General features: G+C 49.4%; 1 protein-coding gene across 2 annotated transcripts in view, besides 6 other annotated features; it reads right to left on the bottom strand.

Moving 5' to 3' along the window:
• Positions 281 to 781: an enhancer, noted in NCBI's record as "H3K4me1 hESC enhancer chr7:98970933-98971433 (GRCh37/hg19 assembly coordinates)". NCBI's record gives its function as "activates a minimal SCP1, AML or CMV promoter by ChIP-STARR-seq in naive H9 embryonic stem cells {active_cell/tissue: H9 hESC(naive)}" and the evidence as "EXISTENCE:reporter gene assay evidence [ECO:0000049][PMID:30033119]".
• Positions 3,771 to 4,065: an enhancer, noted in NCBI's record as "tiled region #4482; K562 Activating DNase matched - State 5:Enh". NCBI's record gives its function as "activates a minimal TATA promoter and a strong SV40 promoter by Sharpr-MPRA in K562 cells {active_cell/tissue: K562}" and the evidence as "EXISTENCE:reporter gene assay evidence [ECO:0000049][PMID:27701403]".
• Positions 4,144 to 5,057: an enhancer, noted in NCBI's record as "H3K27ac-H3K4me1 hESC enhancer chr7:98966657-98967570 (GRCh37/hg19 assembly coordinates)". NCBI's record gives its function as "activates a minimal SCP1, AML or CMV promoter by ChIP-STARR-seq in primed H9 embryonic stem cells {active_cell/tissue: H9 hESC(primed)}" and the evidence as "EXISTENCE:reporter gene assay evidence [ECO:0000049][PMID:30033119]".
• Positions 7,829 to 18,266, bottom strand: part of ARPC1A (actin related protein 2/3 complex subunit 1A) — a 40,365-nt gene continuing 29,927 nt past the window's right edge. For both annotated transcript variants that reach the window (NM_006409.4, NM_001190996.2), the window contains exons 7-10: positions 15,676 to 15,751; positions 14,353 to 14,546; positions 10,458 to 10,548; positions 7,829 to 8,200 (exon numbers count right to left, since the gene is read on the bottom strand). In NM_006409.4, the coding sequence (NP_006400.2) occupies positions 8,162 to 8,200; positions 10,458 to 10,548; positions 14,353 to 14,546; positions 15,676 to 15,751 (400 nt within the window). In that variant the 3' untranslated portion in view covers positions 7,829 to 8,161. The remainder of the gene's footprint in view (positions 8,201 to 10,457; positions 10,549 to 14,352; positions 14,547 to 15,675; positions 15,752 to 18,266) is intronic.
• Positions 8,985 to 9,190: a silencer, noted in NCBI's record as "fragment chr7:98962524-98962729 (GRCh37/hg19 assembly coordinates)". NCBI's record gives its function as "represses an EF-1alpha promoter that drives an FKBP-Casp9 reporter gene in an ReSE screen in HepG2 liver carcinoma cells {active_cell/tissue: HepG2}" and the evidence as "EXISTENCE:reporter gene assay evidence [ECO:0000049][PMID:32094911]".
• Positions 13,915 to 14,415: an enhancer, noted in NCBI's record as "H3K4me1 hESC enhancer chr7:98957299-98957799 (GRCh37/hg19 assembly coordinates)". NCBI's record gives its function as "activates a minimal SCP1, AML or CMV promoter by ChIP-STARR-seq in naive H9 embryonic stem cells {active_cell/tissue: H9 hESC(naive)}" and the evidence as "EXISTENCE:reporter gene assay evidence [ECO:0000049][PMID:30033119]".
• Positions 15,609 to 16,109: an enhancer, noted in NCBI's record as "H3K27ac hESC enhancer chr7:98955605-98956105 (GRCh37/hg19 assembly coordinates)". NCBI's record gives its function as "activates a minimal SCP1, AML or CMV promoter by ChIP-STARR-seq in naive H9 embryonic stem cells {active_cell/tissue: H9 hESC(naive)}" and the evidence as "EXISTENCE:reporter gene assay evidence [ECO:0000049][PMID:30033119]".

The following is an 18,266-nucleotide window of genomic DNA, read 5'->3' as shown; positions in this document are numbered from 1 at the left end:
TTTACGTCAATCGGCTTCACTTCTTTAAGTTACCCGGTTAGCCTTGCAGAGCCGCCTGATTGCGGGTCTTGGGCTAGGTGGTCCCCGGAGTCTTCCCATCCTGACCCTCTGCCTCTTCAGTGGATACGTGGCCTGGCGGCCAGGCAGATGGAAGAGACCCCAGTGAAAACCTTACCTCGGCCGGTCGCGGTGGCTCACGCCTGTAATCTCAGCACTTTGGGAGGCCGAGGCGGGAGGATCACGAGCTCAGATCGAGACCATCCTGGCTATCACGGTGAAACCTCGTCTCTACTAAACAATACAAAAATTAGCCAGGCGTGGTGGCGCATGCCTGTAATCCCAGCTACTCGGGAGGCTGAGGTAGAAGAATCGCTTGAATCTAGGAGGCAGAGGTTGCAGTGAGCCGAGATCGCGCCATTACACTCCAGCCTGGGCGACAGAGTGAGACTCTGTTTCAAAAAAAAAAAAAATTAGCTGCAAGGAGCCCCATGGCGTGATGGAGCGCTGCTGTAATCCCAGCTACTCGGGAGGCTGAGGCACGAGAATTGCTTGAACCCCGGGGGCAGAGGCTGCAGTGAGCCAAGATGGGGCCCCTGCACGCCAGCCTGGCAACAGAGCGAGACTTCCTCTCAAACAACAACAAAAACCTTCCCTCCTCTTCTCTCCTTCAGACCCCTCTCTCTAGTATTTGTGCAGGGTCTTCCTGGATCTCTGGAGATCCGAGGCCAGACTCCCACCCTGTCAGGCTTAGAGGCTTTGACACTCGCTGTTCCTTCTGCCTGGAACACTATTCCCACCCTGTCCTCACCTGCCGACATTGGTTTGTCCTGCAGTATGTGGCTGGGGGTCTCAGGTCGCTTTGCCCCGACACCCTCCCCATTGGAGGTGCCCTTAGCCGCCGCTCTCTTTTCCACTGAATTCGACCCCCTAGGGTAGTTGGGAGGATTAAATGTGTCCAGGTGTGTGAATCGGGTCATACAGTGTGCACACAGGAAGTGCTCGAACTTTTCTGAGCCCCCCCAACCTTGCTGCTCCTGCGTATTTTCTCAGACAGATGTCGGCAACCTCAGCAAACACAGGCGGTGGTTTTAGTTCAAGCAGATACAAAGCTTCAAGGGGTCTGTACCGGCAGCCCTCTTCCCACAGGGACAAGTGTAGGGTAACTGAGGTGACCCTGTTGCTGCTTCCCTGGCTTCCATCCTACTCTTCTGCCGCTTTGTAGATGCCCAGGGAATGACCCCAAGTGGCCCTGAGTGGTCTAAATCAGCTCACGGTGTTCCCTGTCCTGCTGCACTTGTGACCTAAGATGACCCAATCAAAGCAAAGCCCAGGACTTCAGCTGATGATCCAGCGCACAAAGCCCCTTCTGAGCGAGCTGCAGGAATCTGGACTCGTAAGTGGAACGCGGAAGTGGAACAGCAACAAGGGAAGCTGCAGGGAGAGTGCAGAGCCGAGAGAAGGTCAGAGAAGTAACCGGAGCTCTGGTCACCTCTGACTGGAAGGTCTGAGCCCAACCTGCCTCCAAAGATTCAGATATGTGAGCCAAGTTATCCGCTTAATTAATTAATATGTTTTAGAGACAGGGTCTCCCTCTTTTACCCAGGCTGGAATGTAGTGACGCAATCACAGCTCACTGAAGCCTCCAGCTCCTGGGCTCAAGTGATCCTCCCGCCTTAGCTTCTCGAGCACTTGGGACTACAGGTGTGCACCATCACACCTGGCTAATTTTTAAAATTTTTATAGGCTGGGTGCGGTGGCTCATGCCTGTAATCCTAACACTTTGGGAAGCCAAGGCAGGCGGATCGTTTGAGGTCAGGAGTTCGAGACCAGCCTGACCAACATGGTGAAACCCTGTCTCTACTAAAAATACAAAACTTAGCCGGGCGTGGTGGCGCGCGCCTGTAATCTCAGCTACTCCAGAGGCTAAGGCAGGAAAATCACTTGAACCCAGGAGGCGGAGATTGCAGTGAGTCAAGATCACGCCACTGCACTCCAGCCTGGATGAAAGAGCGAGACTCCTTCTCAAAAAAAAAAAAAAATTTTTATAAGGATAGTGTTTTTGCTATGTTGTGCAGGTTGGTATCAAACTCCTGGCCTCAAGTGATTCTCCCACCTCAGCCTCTCTCGTAGCTGGGAGGGACCACAGGCATGCGCCACTACACCCAGCTAATTTTTAAAATTTTTGTATGGACAGGGCTCTCCCTGTGTGACCCAGGCTGGTCTCGAACTCCTTGCCTCAAGAAATCCTCCTGCCTCAGCCTCCCAAAGTGCTGGGGTTACAGACGTGAGCCACGGTGTGCAGCCTCCACTTTATTTTTAGGCTGCTTTGAGTTTTTCTGCTGCGAATCATCAAAGCATCCTAACAAATATGCATACCTCAAGACTCCTTTTTCCTATCTGCGAAAATGTAAACTAAGGTCACCTGAGTTGATGTAAAGGCTCTAAAAGCCTATGCGAGCCGCAGCCATGGCTGTACTGTTCCCTCTTCTCTCCCCTGGGCCCATGACAGAGCCCGGTGCCTGAGTCACTCAACACACATCTTAACAGATGTGTTAATGAATGATCCAGTGGTAGAAAACTGAGTCCAGGCCGGGTATGGTGGCTCACGCCTGTAATCCCAGCACTATGGGAAGCGGAGGCAGGCTGATCACAAAAGGTCAGGAGGGTGAGACCAGCCTGACTAACATGGTGAAAACCCATTTCTAATAAAAAAAAAAAAAGCCTGGGTGCAGTGGCTCACGCCTGTAATCCCAGCACTTTGGGAGGCCGAGGCGGGCGGATCACGAGGTCAGGAGTTCGAGGTCAGGCCAACATAGTGAAACCCTCTCTCTACTAAAAATACAAAAATTAGCTGGGTGTGGTGGCACATGCCTGTAATCCTAGCTACTTGGGAGGCTGAGGCAGGAAAATCGCTTGAACCTGGGAGGTGGAGGTTGCAGTGAGCCGAGACCACGCCATTGCCCTCCAGTCTGGGTGACAGAGTGAGACCGTCTCGAAGAACAAAACAAAACAAAACAAAACAAAAATACAAAAATTAGTTGGGTGTGGTGGCACATGCCTGTAGTCCCAGCTACTTGCTACTCAGGAGGCTGAGGCAGGAGAATCTCTTGAATGAGGGTGGTGGAGGTTGCAGTGAGCCGATAACAGAGCAAGACTCCATCCCCCCCAAAAAAAGGTTGGGCGCAGTGGCTCACGCTTGTAATCCCAGCAGTTTAGGAGGCTGAGGCAGGCAGATCACTTGAGGTCAGGAGTTCCAGACCAGCCTGGCCAACATGGTGAAACCCCGTCTCTACTAAAAATACAAAAAAAATTAGCTGGGCATGGTGGCGCACACCTGTAATCCCACCTCCTCTGGAGGCTGAGGCAGGAGAATCACTTGAACTCGGGAGGCAGAGGTTGCAGTGAGTCGAGATCACTGTAACCAGGCTACATTCCAGCCTGGGTGATGGAGCGAGACTTCATCTCAAAAAAGGAAAAATAAGAAAGAAAGTGGGTCCAGTTCTGGTGCTGCCACTTAACCTGTAGTGTAACCGTGCCTTAGTTTCCACATCTGTAAAGTGAAGCTGACAAGCACTGTCCACCTGCCCACCCGTCCCACAGGCCTTCAGTCGTGGAGGGAAGACCCAGTGGATGGGAGAAAGCAGACCTCAGATTGGAAAGCAATGGAAGGCATTATTTGAAATGGCTCCTTTGGGGGAGAAAGTTTTCTAAGCCGTACGTGGAGAAACACTTTGGGTTAGGGAACTTGGTGATGGAAGGATTTCATCTGGAGCTCCCAGAACAACTTGGAGAGCTTTCTGTTTCTTCCTAGAATTGGCTTTGTGCAGGGCCCTGGGACGAAGATGCTACACACTCCTGCTTCCTTTATTGCCTTCTCATGTTTCCAAGAAATGCAGCCACAAACCCAGGCTGTGACTCTCCAGGGCTGGCCGACGTGGGGGAGGCAGGCCAGGGCTGGTGCAGTCTCCCAGGTTCTTGCTGGCTTTCTGCCCCTTGCCTGTCGCTATTTTTTTTTTTTTTTTTTTGAGATGGAGTCTCGCTGGAGTGCAGTGGCACAATCTCGGCTCACTACAACCTCTGCCTCCCAGCTTCAAGCACCAGTTTTATTGCCTCCTGGTCACAAAATGGCAGCTAGGTTGACTGCAGACAAGCAGTGGGTGGGCCAAGGCAGACCAGGGAGATGGGAGATGGAGGGGGGGCGGTGGCAGGGACCTTTTCTAAGAGCTCCCAGTATCCAGTATAATCTCCCCTTTGTCCCACTGGTCCACCCCAGAATGTGGGTCACTTTCCCTGGGATCAAGGGATCCATCCCAACTGACAGCAGGAGGGGAGAGGATAAAACCTTGGGGCCAAAGCCCCAAGGCCACATATCTGGTAAGGTGGCTAAAGGCCTGCAAGGCAGATGTACCCCACAGCTGGGGCCCCCATAACACTCGCTCAGCATTCCACATCCCATCACAGCCCCCTTCCAAGCCACATGGCCTGATGTGTCAGTTTGACAAACCGAGGTCTACAATGAAACCCACAAGCTATTGTCAAATACCTTCTTGCTCTCTCTCTTTTTTTTTTTCTTTTTTCGAGATGGAGTCTCGCTGTTGCCCAGGCTGGAGTGCAGTGGCGATCTTGGCTCACTGTAACCTGTGCCTCCCAGCAATTGTTCAAGCAATTCTCGTGCTTCAGCCTCCCAAGTAGCTGGGATTACAGGCGCGTGCCACCAAATGCCTGGCTAATTTTTGTATTTGTAGTAGAGAAGGGGGTTTCACCATGTTGGCTAGGCTGGGCTTGAACTCCTGACCTCAAGGGATCCACCCGTCTTGGTCTCCTAAAGTGCTGGGATTACAGGCATGAGCCACCGCGCCCGGCCTCAAATAACTTCTCATCAGTTCCAGTGACAGGGCCCTGCCCCTGAGCGTGGGTGAGCTGAAAAGGGGCTGCCACTAAGGTATTTCCCTCGCCCAGTGGGGAGCACATGCTTAGTGGTTACTACCAGGGCTTTGGAGAGACTGCTCATTCCCCTCTCTGGAATTTTGCCATCTGAAAAATGTGCTAATAACAGTTCCAACCCTACAGGTTTGTTATGAGGGGTAGTTAATGGCTTCCAAATGCTTTTCTTGGTGCCTGCATAGTTAGCTAAAGTATTGCATTCAGGGCGTGGCTCACACACCTTTCCTGAAGAACCCTCTCAGAACATCCCAGACTGTAGTCATTGTTGACAGAGGCCTGGTCTGAGTCTCAAAGGTAGAGTGAGAGAAGGACGGAGCGTCACAAACTCAAAAGGCCCCAGCGTTGAAATAAAGCACTGAGGGCTTCTGGCTGCGGTGACTGGAGTGGGCCTTCCTCCCCACATGAGAAATGGCCTGTGTTAAAAAATGGCAAAATAAATTAGCCAGGCGTGGTGGTATACGCCTGTAATCCCAGCTACTCGGAGACTGGGGTCACCTGTGATCCCAGCTACTCAGGAGGCTGAAATATGAGAATCACTTGAACCTGGAAGGTAGAGGCTGCAGTCAGTCGAGATCATGCCACTGCACTCTAGCCTGGTTGACAGAGAAAGACGCTCCATCTTAAAAAAAAAAAAAAAAAAGGCAAAATAGGCCGGGTACAGTGGATCACGCCTATGATCCCAGCACTTTGGGAGGCTGAGGCAAGAGGACTGCTTAAGCCCAGTTTGAGACCAGCCTGGGCAACACAGGGAGACCCTGTCTCTATTATAATTTCAAAATGTTTTTATTTAAAAAAGAAAAAAAAACAGCAAAATAACTCTGGGGCTATTAAGTTCTTAGAGGCAAAAGTAAGTCAATTTTGTAGGTTTTTTTTTTTTTTTTTTTGAGACGTAGTCTCGCTCTGTTGCCCAGGCTGGAGTGCAATGGTGCGATCTTGGCTCACTACAAGCTCCGCCTCCCGAGTTCACGCCATTCTCCTGCCTCAGCCTCCCGAGTAGCTGGGACTACAGGCACCCGCCACCACGCCTGGCTAATTTTTTGTATTTTTAGTAGAGACCGGGTTTCACTGTGTTAGCCAGGATGGTCTCAATCTCCTGACCTCGTGATCCACCTGCCTCGGCCTCCGAAAGTGCTGGGATTACAGGCATGAGCCACCGCACCTGAACTTTTTTTTTTTTTGAGACAGTGTCTTGCTCTATCCCCCAGGCTGGAGTGCAGTGGCATGATTTCAGCTCACTGCAACCTGGGTTCAAGCAATTCTCCTGCCTTAGCCTCCTGAGTAGCTGGGATTACAGGCACCCACCACTACACCTGGCTAATTTTTTGTTTGTTTTTTTTGAGACGGAATTCCACTCTTGTTGCCCAGGCTGGAGTGCAATGACATGATCTCGGCTCACCACAACCTCTGCCTCCTGGGTTCAAGTGATTCTGCTGCCTCAGCCTCCCAAGTAGCTGGGATTACAGGCACGCACCACCATGCCTGGCTAATTTTGTATTTTTAATAGGGATGGGGTTTCCCCATGTTGGTCAGGCTGGTCTCAAACTCTGGACCTCAGGTGATCTGCCCGCCTCGGCCTCCCAAAGTGTTGGGATTACAGGCGTGAGCCACCGCGTCCGGCTAAAAGAGAAATCTTCAGCTAATTCCTGCTTTATGGCCAGTTTTTGTCTACCCTCACGGAGCCTTGCCAATGCACTATGCATACAAACGTGTACACAAAGGAGCTCCTGCCACTGGGGGCCCAGAGACGACACTATAGGGACCAGGCAGGGCCATGAGGCCAGCACCCCTGGTGCTAGGTAGGATTCCCTCTTGGAGTGAGGGCTCTTCCCATGAGTCACAAGAGGGCCAAATTACCTTCTCTCGAGCACATCATGATGTGCCTTGGGAAGCACTGTTACCAGCATTCTAGAAGGGAGCCGTGAGATCAAGGATGTGGCCAGGCTCCGGCTACTCTTTACTTATTTTGCTTTTCATTTATACTTGTACCTCTTAAGATTCTCTGCCATGGAATGTCAAACTTTACGTCTCATCATGATGAAAGTAGCTCAGTGTAGGCACAATCAACTCTAAGCCAAGATGCTGACTTTCCCCTTTCCCGCCCCCTTGCACACCCCCCACAGCGTACCCTTGGCAGGTGCACTGCTAACAGTGGGCTGCCATGCTGTGGGCACCGGGCCCCAGGGCCTCCCAGGGCAGGCTCCCATTCGGGCTTGGCTGCTCAGTGGAGGTGGGCTTCTCTGTTGCTCACATGCAAGACGGGAACGGTGTACCTCTGACAGGGCTTGGCTGTGTGTCCCTTCCAAATCTCACGCTGAAATGCGATCCTCAGTGTTGGGGTGGGGCCTGGTGGGCGGTGTTTGGGTCATGGGGCGGATCCCTCATGAATGGCTTGGTGCCCCCTGGCAGGAATGAGTGTGTTCTCACTCTATGACCTGGTTGTTTCAAGGAGCCTGGTCCTCCCCACTCTCTCTTGCATCCTCTCCCGCCATGGGACACGCCTGCTTCCCCTTCGCCTTCTGCCATGAGTAAAACCTTCCTGAGGCTTCCCCAAAAGCAGACGCAGGCACCATGCTTCTTGTCCAACCGGCAGAACCGTGTGCCAAATAAATCTTTTTTCTTAAACAAATTACCCAGCCTCAGGTATTCCTTTATTGCAACACAAAACAGACCGACACAACCTACTTTGCAGAAGTATTGCAATGTTCAGAAACGGTTCTCTCTCACCCCTCACTAAATGGTGCTTTTTGGTTCAAGGTTGTATAGAATGGTACAATTTAAGAAACCAAGGATCTAAGATTTTGCCTAAAAAAAACTGAATCGAATGAAGAATTCGCTCATATTTTTCTACTAAAAATTGAAATACTACAAGGAAACAAAACCAAAACCACATTCAGTTCTTTTATTTAATTTTCTAGTGGACAATTTACATATCTCCCTCACCCTGTCTTTTAAGTTAGTGTGACAATTTTCCATAATAAACTACTTAAAGAGAAGCTTTGGTCAAGAATGGAATGAAATCGCAAAAAAACAAACAAAAAAATTACTGCCTTAAAAAAACCAACACTTTCACCAATTTTATATTCAAACAAAACCACACGGCATTGGCGTGATATGTGTTTTCAGTGTTTCCTTGGGGCTGGCTTCCTCGCCATCGTGCCACGGCACAGCTGCGGTCGGCCACAGTTTGTCATGCTGGATGGCGGAGGCTCACTCAGCTTCACATTATCCGGAGGCCCTGGATGGAAGACTCGAGGGTCTTGGAAAAGGTGGGAAGAGCACTGATGTCACTGAGGAGTGTCTACCCCGAGGTAGGTATGACACCACTCCCTCTTCCTCAGGGAAGGTTCTGCCTGTCCCCACCCTGAACCTGGCCCTGCCCCACCTGAAACAGGATCTCCCAGGACTCACCCCGCAGAGACACTCCAGGCCGGGGCTCCCCCTGCTGGCTCCTCCAGGCCAGGTGTGCCTTTTCCCCACTGCCACACACACAGGCTCTGGGCACACTCCTCACTCCTCTTTTTTTTTTTTTTTAAAGATAGGGTCTTGCTCTGTTGCCCCAGGCTGGAGTGCAGTGGTGTGACCACAGCTCACTGCAGCCTCCAACTCCTGGGCTCAAGTGATCCTCCTGCCTCAGCTTCTCAAGTAGCTGCAACTAAAGGCATGCGTCACTGCACCTGGTTTTTAAAAATATATATATGTATATTTTTAAATAGAGACAGGATCTCACTGTGTTGCCCAGGCTGGTCTCGAACTCCTGTGCTCAAGACAGGAAAGCAGTGAGGAGAAACGAGCCTCAGCTTCCCAAAGTGCTGGGATTACAGGAGTGGGTCAGTGCGCCTGGCTGCACCTGGCTTTTTTATAGAGATGGGGTCACGCTATGTTGCCCAAACTGGTCTCAAAACTCCTGGCCTCAAGCGATTCTCCCACCTCGGCCTCCCAAAGTGCTGGGAAGACAGGCATGAGCCACTGCGCCTGGCTACCTAGAGCTCTTTTTTCTAGCTCCATCTGTGCTTCCGGAGGACCACAGCACGGGCAGCGCCTCAGAGGCAGTGTGCGCTCTCTGAAGCCCAGGGCTGCCCTGGGTGTGCTGCACTTGCAGCCGAGGATGCTCGCCTGTGTCTTCTCAACTCACAGTCCCTCCCTCCAAAACCCATCGCAACTCAGGATGCCGCTCAGGTGCAACCTGTTCCCTGCAGTCCACGCATCCCCCTAGATTCCTCTGTGTGAAAACAGAGGCACTGGCTTCTCTTCTGAGCTCTGCCGAATCCCCTACCCAGCCCCCGTATCCACCTCTCTCTTCTACCAGACAGGCTCATTCAGATTGGATATTCTCAGTGCTCAGCATCATGCATGGCACCCAGGAGATATGTACTAAATGTTTATTAAATTAATTAGTGTCAGCTATAAATATATATCTATATAGTTAAACCTGGGCTGGTGTCCAATAGGGCCTGTTTCCAAAACAGCACTCCATTTTTCCTCAATGAATAAATGGACATCTAGAAGTAAAAATTCCAGTTCACTGAGAATGTGCCGTTCTTCTGCGGATGACTTTTAGGTTTTAAAGAGATCTCTGGCTGGGCGCAGTGGCTCACGCCTGTAATCCTGGCACTTGGGGAGGCTGAGGCGGGTGGATCACCTGAGGTTGGGAGTTCGAGACCAGCATGTCCAACGTGGAGAAACCCCATCTCTACTAAAAACACAAAATTAGCTGGGCGTGGTGGCACATGTCTGTAATCCCAGCTACTTGGGAGGCTGAGGCAGGAGAATCGCTTGAACCCCAGAGGCGGAGGTTGTGGTGAGCCGAGATTCTGCCATTGCACTCCAGCCTGGGCAACAAGAGCGAAACTCTGTCTCAAAAAAAAAAAAAAAAAAAAAGAGAGAGATCTCCAAGGCTGGCATGGTGGCTCACGCCTGTAATCCCACCACTTTGGGAGGCCAAGGTGGGCAGATCACATGAGGCCAGGAGTTCAAGACCAGCTTGGCCAACATGGTGAAACCCCGTCTGTACTAAAAATACAAAACATAGCCGGGTGTTGTAGTGTGCTCCTGTAATCCCAACTACTTGGGAGACTGAGGCAGGAGAATCGCTCCAACCCGGGAGGCGGAGGTTGCAGTGAGCCAATATTGCACCGCTGCACTGCAGCCTGGGTGACAGAACAAGACTCCATCTCAAAAAGAAAGAAAAAAAAATGAGAGATTTCCAGTTTAATGTCTTACATTAGGACATTAAACTGTATACTAGATTTAACATTTTGTTTCAAGAAATGAGAAACATTCTTCTCATAAGAGTTTTGTAAAAATATTCACGGAGCATGGTGGTGCATGCCTGCTGTCCCAGCAGCTTGGGAGGCTGAGGTGGGAGGGCTGCTGGAGGCAAGGAGTTGGTGGCTGCAGTGAGCCATGATTGTGCCACTTACTCCAACCTGGGTGACAGAGAAGGAGCCTATCTCTTAAAAAAAAAAAAAAAAGTTTTAACACAAACAAAATTTGTTCTGTTAGGTAGAAAATACCTTGAAATCCCAAATTGTCATGGCTCCATCGATGCCAGTAGTGCAAAATTTGCGACAATCTTGCTTGTCCACCTCATAAATAGAGACTTGACTGAAAAAAAGCAAAGCAAAAGAGATCGTAAGGTATGTAGTGGAAGTGAACACAAACATTCCTGACTAATAGTGTAAGGGCAGCTTAAGGAAATGAATTATCTTCTTCTTTATTTTTTAAATAGAGCTGGGATGCGGGTCTCATTATGTTGCCCAAGCTGGTCTTGAACTCCTGGGCTCAAGTGATCCTCCTGCCTCAGTCTCCCAAAATGCTGGGATTACAGGCATAAGCCACCACGCTCCACCAGGAAATGAATTATCTTTTAACTCCTGATTATGAACTTATCCATGAACATTAGGCTGCAACAATCTGGCTCAGAAAATACCCCAAAGCATATTATTACCAGATGTCCAGGAAAGACAAAACTGGCAAGGGGAGAAGTTAAGAACTTGCCTTGGTTAGCGTGACCTGGGGAAGCAGGAATGACCCAGCCCACACAGCACTCAAATGCTGGGAGCAGGTTGTGGGTAGGACCACAGCCATGGCGAAAACAGTATTTTTGTTTGTTTTTAAATAAACCAGAGGCATGATGAAGCATGACTGAATTCCATAGCTCCAAACAAAACCTCTCAAATCAGCCTCCAAGACAGCCAGTGCAGATAAGCCAACAGCCCTCCTTGAGTCTGAAGTGAATCATCATAAATGTTAGCAGCAGACACACCACTAGATTCCGACCAAGCTAAGCAGGGGAACAGATAAATGAAACAACTTGTCTTAGCCTAATTATCTGGAAGCTTTCAAGACAATCATCCATTGCTCAGACAATATTTTTCTTTCTCCTTTGAGATGTCTAGAACTTACCCGCCTCTTCCCCGACGCTGGGAAGGGGATGGCAAACTATGGCACACACTGCCTATGCCCGTACAGCCTGTGAGCTTAAATAAAAAAAAAAAACAACAAAGGCCAGGTGCAGTGGCTCACGCCTGTAATCCCAGCACTCTGGGAGGCCGAGGTGGGCAGATCACGAGGTCAGGAGATCGAGACCATCCTGACTAACACAGTGAAACTCTGTCTCTACTAAAAGATACAAAAAAAAAAAAAAAATTAGCCAGGCATGGTGGCGGGCGCCTGTAGTCCCAGCTACTTGGGAGGCTGAGGCAGGAGAAGGGCGTGAACCCAGGAGGCAGAGCTTGCAGTAAGCCAAGATCGTGCCACTGCACTCCAGCCTGGGTGACAGAGACTCCATCTCAAAAAAAAAAAAAAAAAGGGGGGCGGGGTTTTACATTTTTATTTTATTTATTTATTTATTGAGATGGAGTCTCACTCTGTCACTCAGGCTGGAGTGCAGTGGTGCGATCTCGGCTCACTGCAACCTCTACCTCCCAGGTTCAAGCGATTCTCCTGCCTCAGACTCCCGAGTAGCTGGGATTACAAGCACCTGCCACCAGGCTGGCGAATTTTTGTATTTTTAATAGAGACGGGGTTTTGCCATGTTGGTCAGGCTGGTCTTGACCACCTGACCTCAAGTGATCCGCCCACCCCAGCCTCCCAAAGTGCTGGGATTACAGGCGTGAGCCTCTGCACCTGACCCGGCTTTTACGTTTTTAAATAGCTGGAAAAAAATTAAAAGGAGACTATTATTTCATGAAGTGAAAATTACATGAAATTCAAATTTGAGTGTCCATAAAGTTTGACGGGAACACAGCCACCTCATCTGTTTACATCATCTGTGCCTGCTTTCCTGCCACAACCAGAGTTCAGTAGTTGCAACAGAGACCTATGGCCTCTAGGAGTCTAAAATATTTACTATCTGGTCCTTTACAGAAAAAGTTAGCTGACACAGTTCTAGTGCAAAGAGCACCTAATTTCTGCAAATAAAAGTAGACTAATCAGCAAGGGTTTGTTCTTTTCATTTTTCATCTAGAAGTGTCAGAGAGGCAATGAGAGCTTTTTCTTTCCTTAACACTTGGTCTGTATAGAAACGTAAGAGAAACTCACAAGAAGTAACTCGGAGCCATTCAAGACAGAGAAACCTAAAGAATGGAGAAAAGGTGAGTTTTGCTATAGAAGGAGAAACCTGAAGAATGTGGAGAAAAGGTAAGTTTTGCTATGCCTTCAGGTTCTTTTTTTTTTTTTTTTTTGAGATAGGATCTCACAATGTAGCCCAGGCTGAAGTACAGTGGCACAATCACAGCTCACTCCTCCCAAGTAGCTGGGACTACAGGTGCGTGCCAACACAGCCAGCTAACTTAAAAATTTTTTTGTAGAGATGGGGTCTTGCTGTGTTGCCCAGGATGGTATTGAACTGCTGGCCTCAAGTGATCCTCCTGCCTTGGCTTCCCAAAACGCTAGCATTACAGGTGTGAGACATGGTGCCAGGTCTCTGGTTCTCATTTTTCAATACAGCATTTGCAGCCTATTTTATATACAGCTGCCCCTTCTCCGCTGAAGATGAAGCACAACCTGCATTTCATTGTAATTCTCTCAAACAGGAAGTCTAGAGGTTTCCATTACTTCTCCCACCATCAATACCACAATAAGATTCTAAACATAAAAGGCTTCTCAGTAAGGGAAAATCCCATGGGACCCAACTCTGAACACAGTAATTTAGAATATCAAGCATATATTTCTCCTCCAGGTGCCTTTTTTTTTTTTTTTTTTTGAGACGGAGTCTCACTCTGTCACCCAGGCGGGAGTGCAGTAGCTCAATCTTGGCTCACTGCAACCTCCACCTGCCCGGTTCAAGCAATTCTCCTGCCTCAGCCTGCCGAGTAGCTGGGATTACAGGTGTGTACCACCATGCCAAGCTAATTTTTGTATTTTTTAGTAGAGATGGGGTTTTGCCATGTTGGCAAGGCTGGTCTCGAACTCCTGACCTCAAGTGATCTGCCTGCCTCAGCCTCCCAAAGTGCTGGGATTAAAGGTGTAAGCCATCATGCCCAGCCTCTCCTCTAGACCTTAAAAATCAAACTTTCAGGCCAGGCACGGTAGCTTACGCCTGTAATTCCAGCAATTTGGGAGGCTGAGGTGGTTGGATCACCTGAGGTCAGGAGTTTGAAACCAGGATGGCCAACAGGGTGAAACTCCGTCTCTACTAAAAATACAAAAAATTAGCCAGGTGTGGTGGCACACGCCTGTAATCCCAGCTTCTTGGGAAGCTGAGGCAGGAGAATTGCTTGAACCCGGGAGGCAGAGGTTGCAGTGAGCCGAGATTGTGGCATTGCACTCCAGCCTGGGCAACAGAGTGAGACTCTGTCTCAAAAAAAAAAAAAAAAATTAAACTTTCTGGACAAAACACAATTCTGTTGTCTTACATAATTACATATACCTGATGAAAACCCAGTCGAGACACTCCTCAGCTTTGTCATCATGATGATAAGAAATTCTGTTCCTTTAATTAAATAATCTTCTTATTTGTATCCATTACTTGAAACGACAGCTACAGTTACCTTTTCCAACAGGCTGTAACTTCGCTTTCTGTTATGTGTGCACTACTGTGGGAACGCAGCATTCAGGAATGTCTCCTTTTGTTCTCGAGTAGCTGAGAAAGGGTACCCTAGGAAGCAGCTGCCCTGAGGCCCCACCACCTCAGATTGCAACAAGGTCTGCACTGCTCCTGCTGGCTGCTGCCTTGTAATCTGCACCTTGAAGGACAGAATGACCAGGTGGTGGCGACTCCCTCCCTACCACGAGCTGGAAATGAGAGCCTGGCGGTCGGGAAGATACAGACTTCTTGCTGCACTTGTCCCTGAAAGAATGTCTGGGCCTGAGGGGCATAGAGCTTTTGTAGGAACCCAGTAAGGAAACAGCGAGGGGCAGGAAGGCACCTTGTCACCTGACCACCTCTCTACAGACGGCACCTACGTGATGCTATTCTGGTGCAGCGTCTCCAAGGCCGTGTTGCGGTCCTCAGTTGTGGCTCTCTTGTCCATGTTGCGGAAGCGTTCCATGGCAGACATGTTGCGTTGGATGCTCTGTTTTGGAATATCTAACTTGGAGACGAAGGTCAGGCAGCCGCGGTCATCGTAGTTAAAGAGCATTGGGCAGCAGTCATGGCCCTGAAACAAGACTCAGTCAGTCCCTGGAGGATGCACTGCCCACCGCCCACCTCCTTGGCAGAGTGTTCACCACGACAGGCCTCTCTTACTCTTTTTTTTTTTTTTTTTTGAGACCGAGTCTTGCTCTGTTGCCCTGGCTAGAGTGCAGTGGCACAATCTCAGGTCACCACAACCTCTGCTTCCCGGGTTCAAGTAATTCTCCTGCCTCAGCCTCCCAAGTAGCTGGGATTACAGGCGTCTGCCACCATGCCTGGCTAATTTTTGTGTTTTTAGTAGAGACGGGGTTTCACCATGTTGGCCAGGCTGGTCTTGAACTCCTGACCTCAAGTGAACCACCCGCCTTGGCCTCCCAAAGTGCTGGGACTACAGGCGTGAGCCATCGTGCCCCACCCCCTCTTACTCTTAAAAGTGAGCGGCCGGGCACGGTGGCTCACACCTGTAATCCCAGCACTTTAGGAGGCCAAGGTGGGCGGATCACGAGGTCAGGAGATTGAGACCATCCTGGCTAACATGGTGAAACCCCATCTCTACTAAAAATAAAAAAAATTAGCCCGGCGAGGTGGCGGGCGCCTGTAGTCCCAGCTACTCAGGACGCTGAGGCAGGAGAATGGCGTGAACCCGGGAGGCGGAGCTTGCAGTGAGCCAAAATTGCGCCACTGCCCTCCAGCCTGGGCGACAGAGCAAGACAGTCTCCAAAAAAAAAGTGACCTCTGAGGCCGGGCACGGTGGCTCATGCCCGCACTTTGGGAGGCCAAGGTGGGTGGATCACCTGAGGATGGGAGTTCGAGACCGGCCTGACCAACATGGAGAAACCCCGTCTCTTCTAAAAATACAAAATTAGCCAGGTATGGTGGCGCATGCCTATATTCCCAGTTCCTCGAGAGGCTGAGGCGGGAGAATCGCTTGAACCCGGGAGGCAGAGGTTGCGGTGAGTCAAGATCACCCATTGCACTCCAGCCTGGGCAACAAGAGCAAAACTCCATCTCAAAAAAAAAAAAAAAAAAAAAAGTGAGCTCTGTTTCTTCTAAAAAACTGTTCTGCTTTGTGCTAGGGTGACAGAGCACACATTGTTCCCTGTCTGAGCATCACATACAGTGCACCCCGAGGGAGAATGAAGAAAAATACTCACAGCAGCCACGACGCTGTTCTCTGAGACAAATGACACACTTAGGAGCGGCAGGAACTCTGTCTTCAGAGTCGAGACCCTGAACACAAGAACATGTGTTATCCCAAGATGCAACAGACTATTAGCTTCTTTACAGACACAGATGATCACAAAGGACCCATTCTCACAGGGGCTTCTGCAGTATCAATGGGCACTTATGTTGAAAAGGAGCCCCTGACCTCAACTTGCAGGCCTCTCAAGACAGGGGCAGCCCTGGGTTCCGGCTCTGCCTCCTTCTGAGGCCCTGCCCACTGACGACAAACTGGTTCCCAAAGCCCAGTCTTTGCATCACGCCCTTCCACCCCCAGCACAGCTCTAAAGGGATCACCCCCATGATCCCACGGTCCACTTTCCCGGGCCACTTCCGCCTAAAGTGGCTTCTCCCTGCTCTTAGCTCCTAGAGCTCTTCCTGTTACTATGACTTGGCAGCAGACACCTGTGCTAGGACCTTCTCCTTGCCTGTGCTCACCGGAGCTCCGAGAGGGCTGTGACCACACAGATCTGTGCTGACGGCCAGGCACTGTGTTAGGAGCTAGAGCTACCAAGATGAACCAAACGGTCTTAGCCAGGAGCTCACACTCGAATGGGCCATGTGTGTGTATGTGTGCCTGCAGGGACATGTGTGTGCATGTAGTTATTTGCTCTTGAATGTGGCAAAGAGATTACACAGATATGGCAGGCAGACACACTGGCTGATGAGTTAGGAGCACCTCACTTCATGCAAGAAACGATGCATTCAAAAGCTGACTGTGGCTGGGCATGGTGGCTCACACCTGTAATCTCAGCACTTTGAGGGGCTGAGGTGGAAGGATTGCTGGAGGCAGGAGTTTGAGATCAGCCTGGACAACATAGTGAGACCCAGTCTCTACGAAAAATTAAAAAAAAAAAAAAATTAGCCTAGAGTGGTGGTGCACGTCTGTGGCTCCAGCTGCTTGAGAGGCTGAGGTGGGAGGAGAACTTGAGCTCAGGAGTTCCAGCCTGGGCGACAGAGAGTGTCTCTCTAAATTAAAAAATAAAAAAAAGCTAACTGTATATGTCTCAGGACACCCTTCATAAAGTTGGCATTGAATTGAAGAACTAATGTGTCATCTTAAGCCCTTAGTGCGGTATACCTGACTTTTACTACATGAGATATTTATGTTGGAGGAGTGGAAAGGTGGAGCATGTAATCTGACTTGCAGGACTGGAAAAGGGAAAGAAGTCAGTACGAGGGTAGACAGGGACTTGTAATAAGTGTATGCTAAGAACTTACTGTGTCACAATAAACCATATAAAAATCAAGTAACACTGGCATCAAAATACAAAAGTATTATCAAGTATTAAAAGGCAAATTACCAAATGTATATAAAAATGTATAAAATAATCTTATTTCTGTTAAAAATGAAAAGATATATAAGTGCCTGTTTATGTAGGGAAATCTTCTGAAAGACTACATTTTATAATGGAAGGGACAATCTTTCTTTTTTTCTTTCTTTTTTTTGAGATGGAGTCTCGCTCTGTCGCCCAGCCTAGAGTGCAGTGGCGCAATCTCGGCTCACTGCAAGCTTTGCCTCCCAGGTTCACGCCATTCTCCTGCCTCAGCCTCCCGAGTAGCTGGGACTACAAGCGCCCGCCACCACGCCTGGCTAATTTTTGTATTTTTTGTAGAGACAGGGTTTCACCGTGTTAGCCAGGATGGTCTCGATCTCCTGACCTTGTGATCCGCCCGCCTCGGCCTCCCAAAGTGCTGGGATTACAGGTGTGAGCCACTGTGCCCAGTCTTTTTTTTTTTTTTGAGACAGAGTCTTCCTCTTGTTGCCCAGGCTGGAGTGCAGTGGTGCGATCTTGGCTCATTGCAACCTCTGCCTGCTGGGTTCAAGCAATTCTCCTGCCTCAGCCTCCTGAGTAGCTGGGATTACAGGTGCATGCCACCACACCTGGCTAATTTTTATACTTTTAGTAGAGGCGGGGTTTCTCCATGTTGGCCATGCTGGTCTCGAACTCCTTACCTGAGGTGATCCACCCGCCTCGGCCTCCCAAAGTGCTGGGATTACAGGCGTGAGCCACTGCACCCGGCCTGAGGGGATAATCTTTAAAAAAATATGTAAAACTAGCTAAAAAATGCACATTTAATCCTGTTAGGAAAAACATATCATGTCTGAAATATCATGCTGTTTACACTGGGTGACTCTTACTGACCTGACAGGGAGTAAAGGTCACCCAGTGTGATTGATTTTTGATACCCAAGTGGCCATGTCCATCACAAAACCTTTAATGGTGAGTTCCCTTTAGCTATCAATGGAAAAGGAACACCAGGGAAGAACAAAGATTTATAAAAGAAGAAGGATTCCAATCTTCTCTCTTCCTCCAACATATACTGAACAAAATGAACTCTGATGTCTGGCCAAGTACTTTATGGCTGAACAGACACGCCACTCACAAAGAAGCCACCGTAATTCGAGTCCTTCCAGCCACAGCAGAGAAGTGGCATCAATGCTTTTTAAGCCTTACTGAATGGAAGGCTCAAATTAATGAAGTCATCGTTCGCTGACTTCCCCCAGTAAGAATATATCTCC

This window comes from Homo sapiens, chromosome 7, assembly GCF_000001405.40.
Source record: "Homo sapiens chromosome 7, GRCh38.p14 Primary Assembly".
NCBI lineage: Eukaryota > Metazoa > Chordata > Mammalia > Primates > Hominidae > Homo > Homo sapiens.
This window is presented reverse-complemented; position numbering and strand designations above follow the sequence as displayed.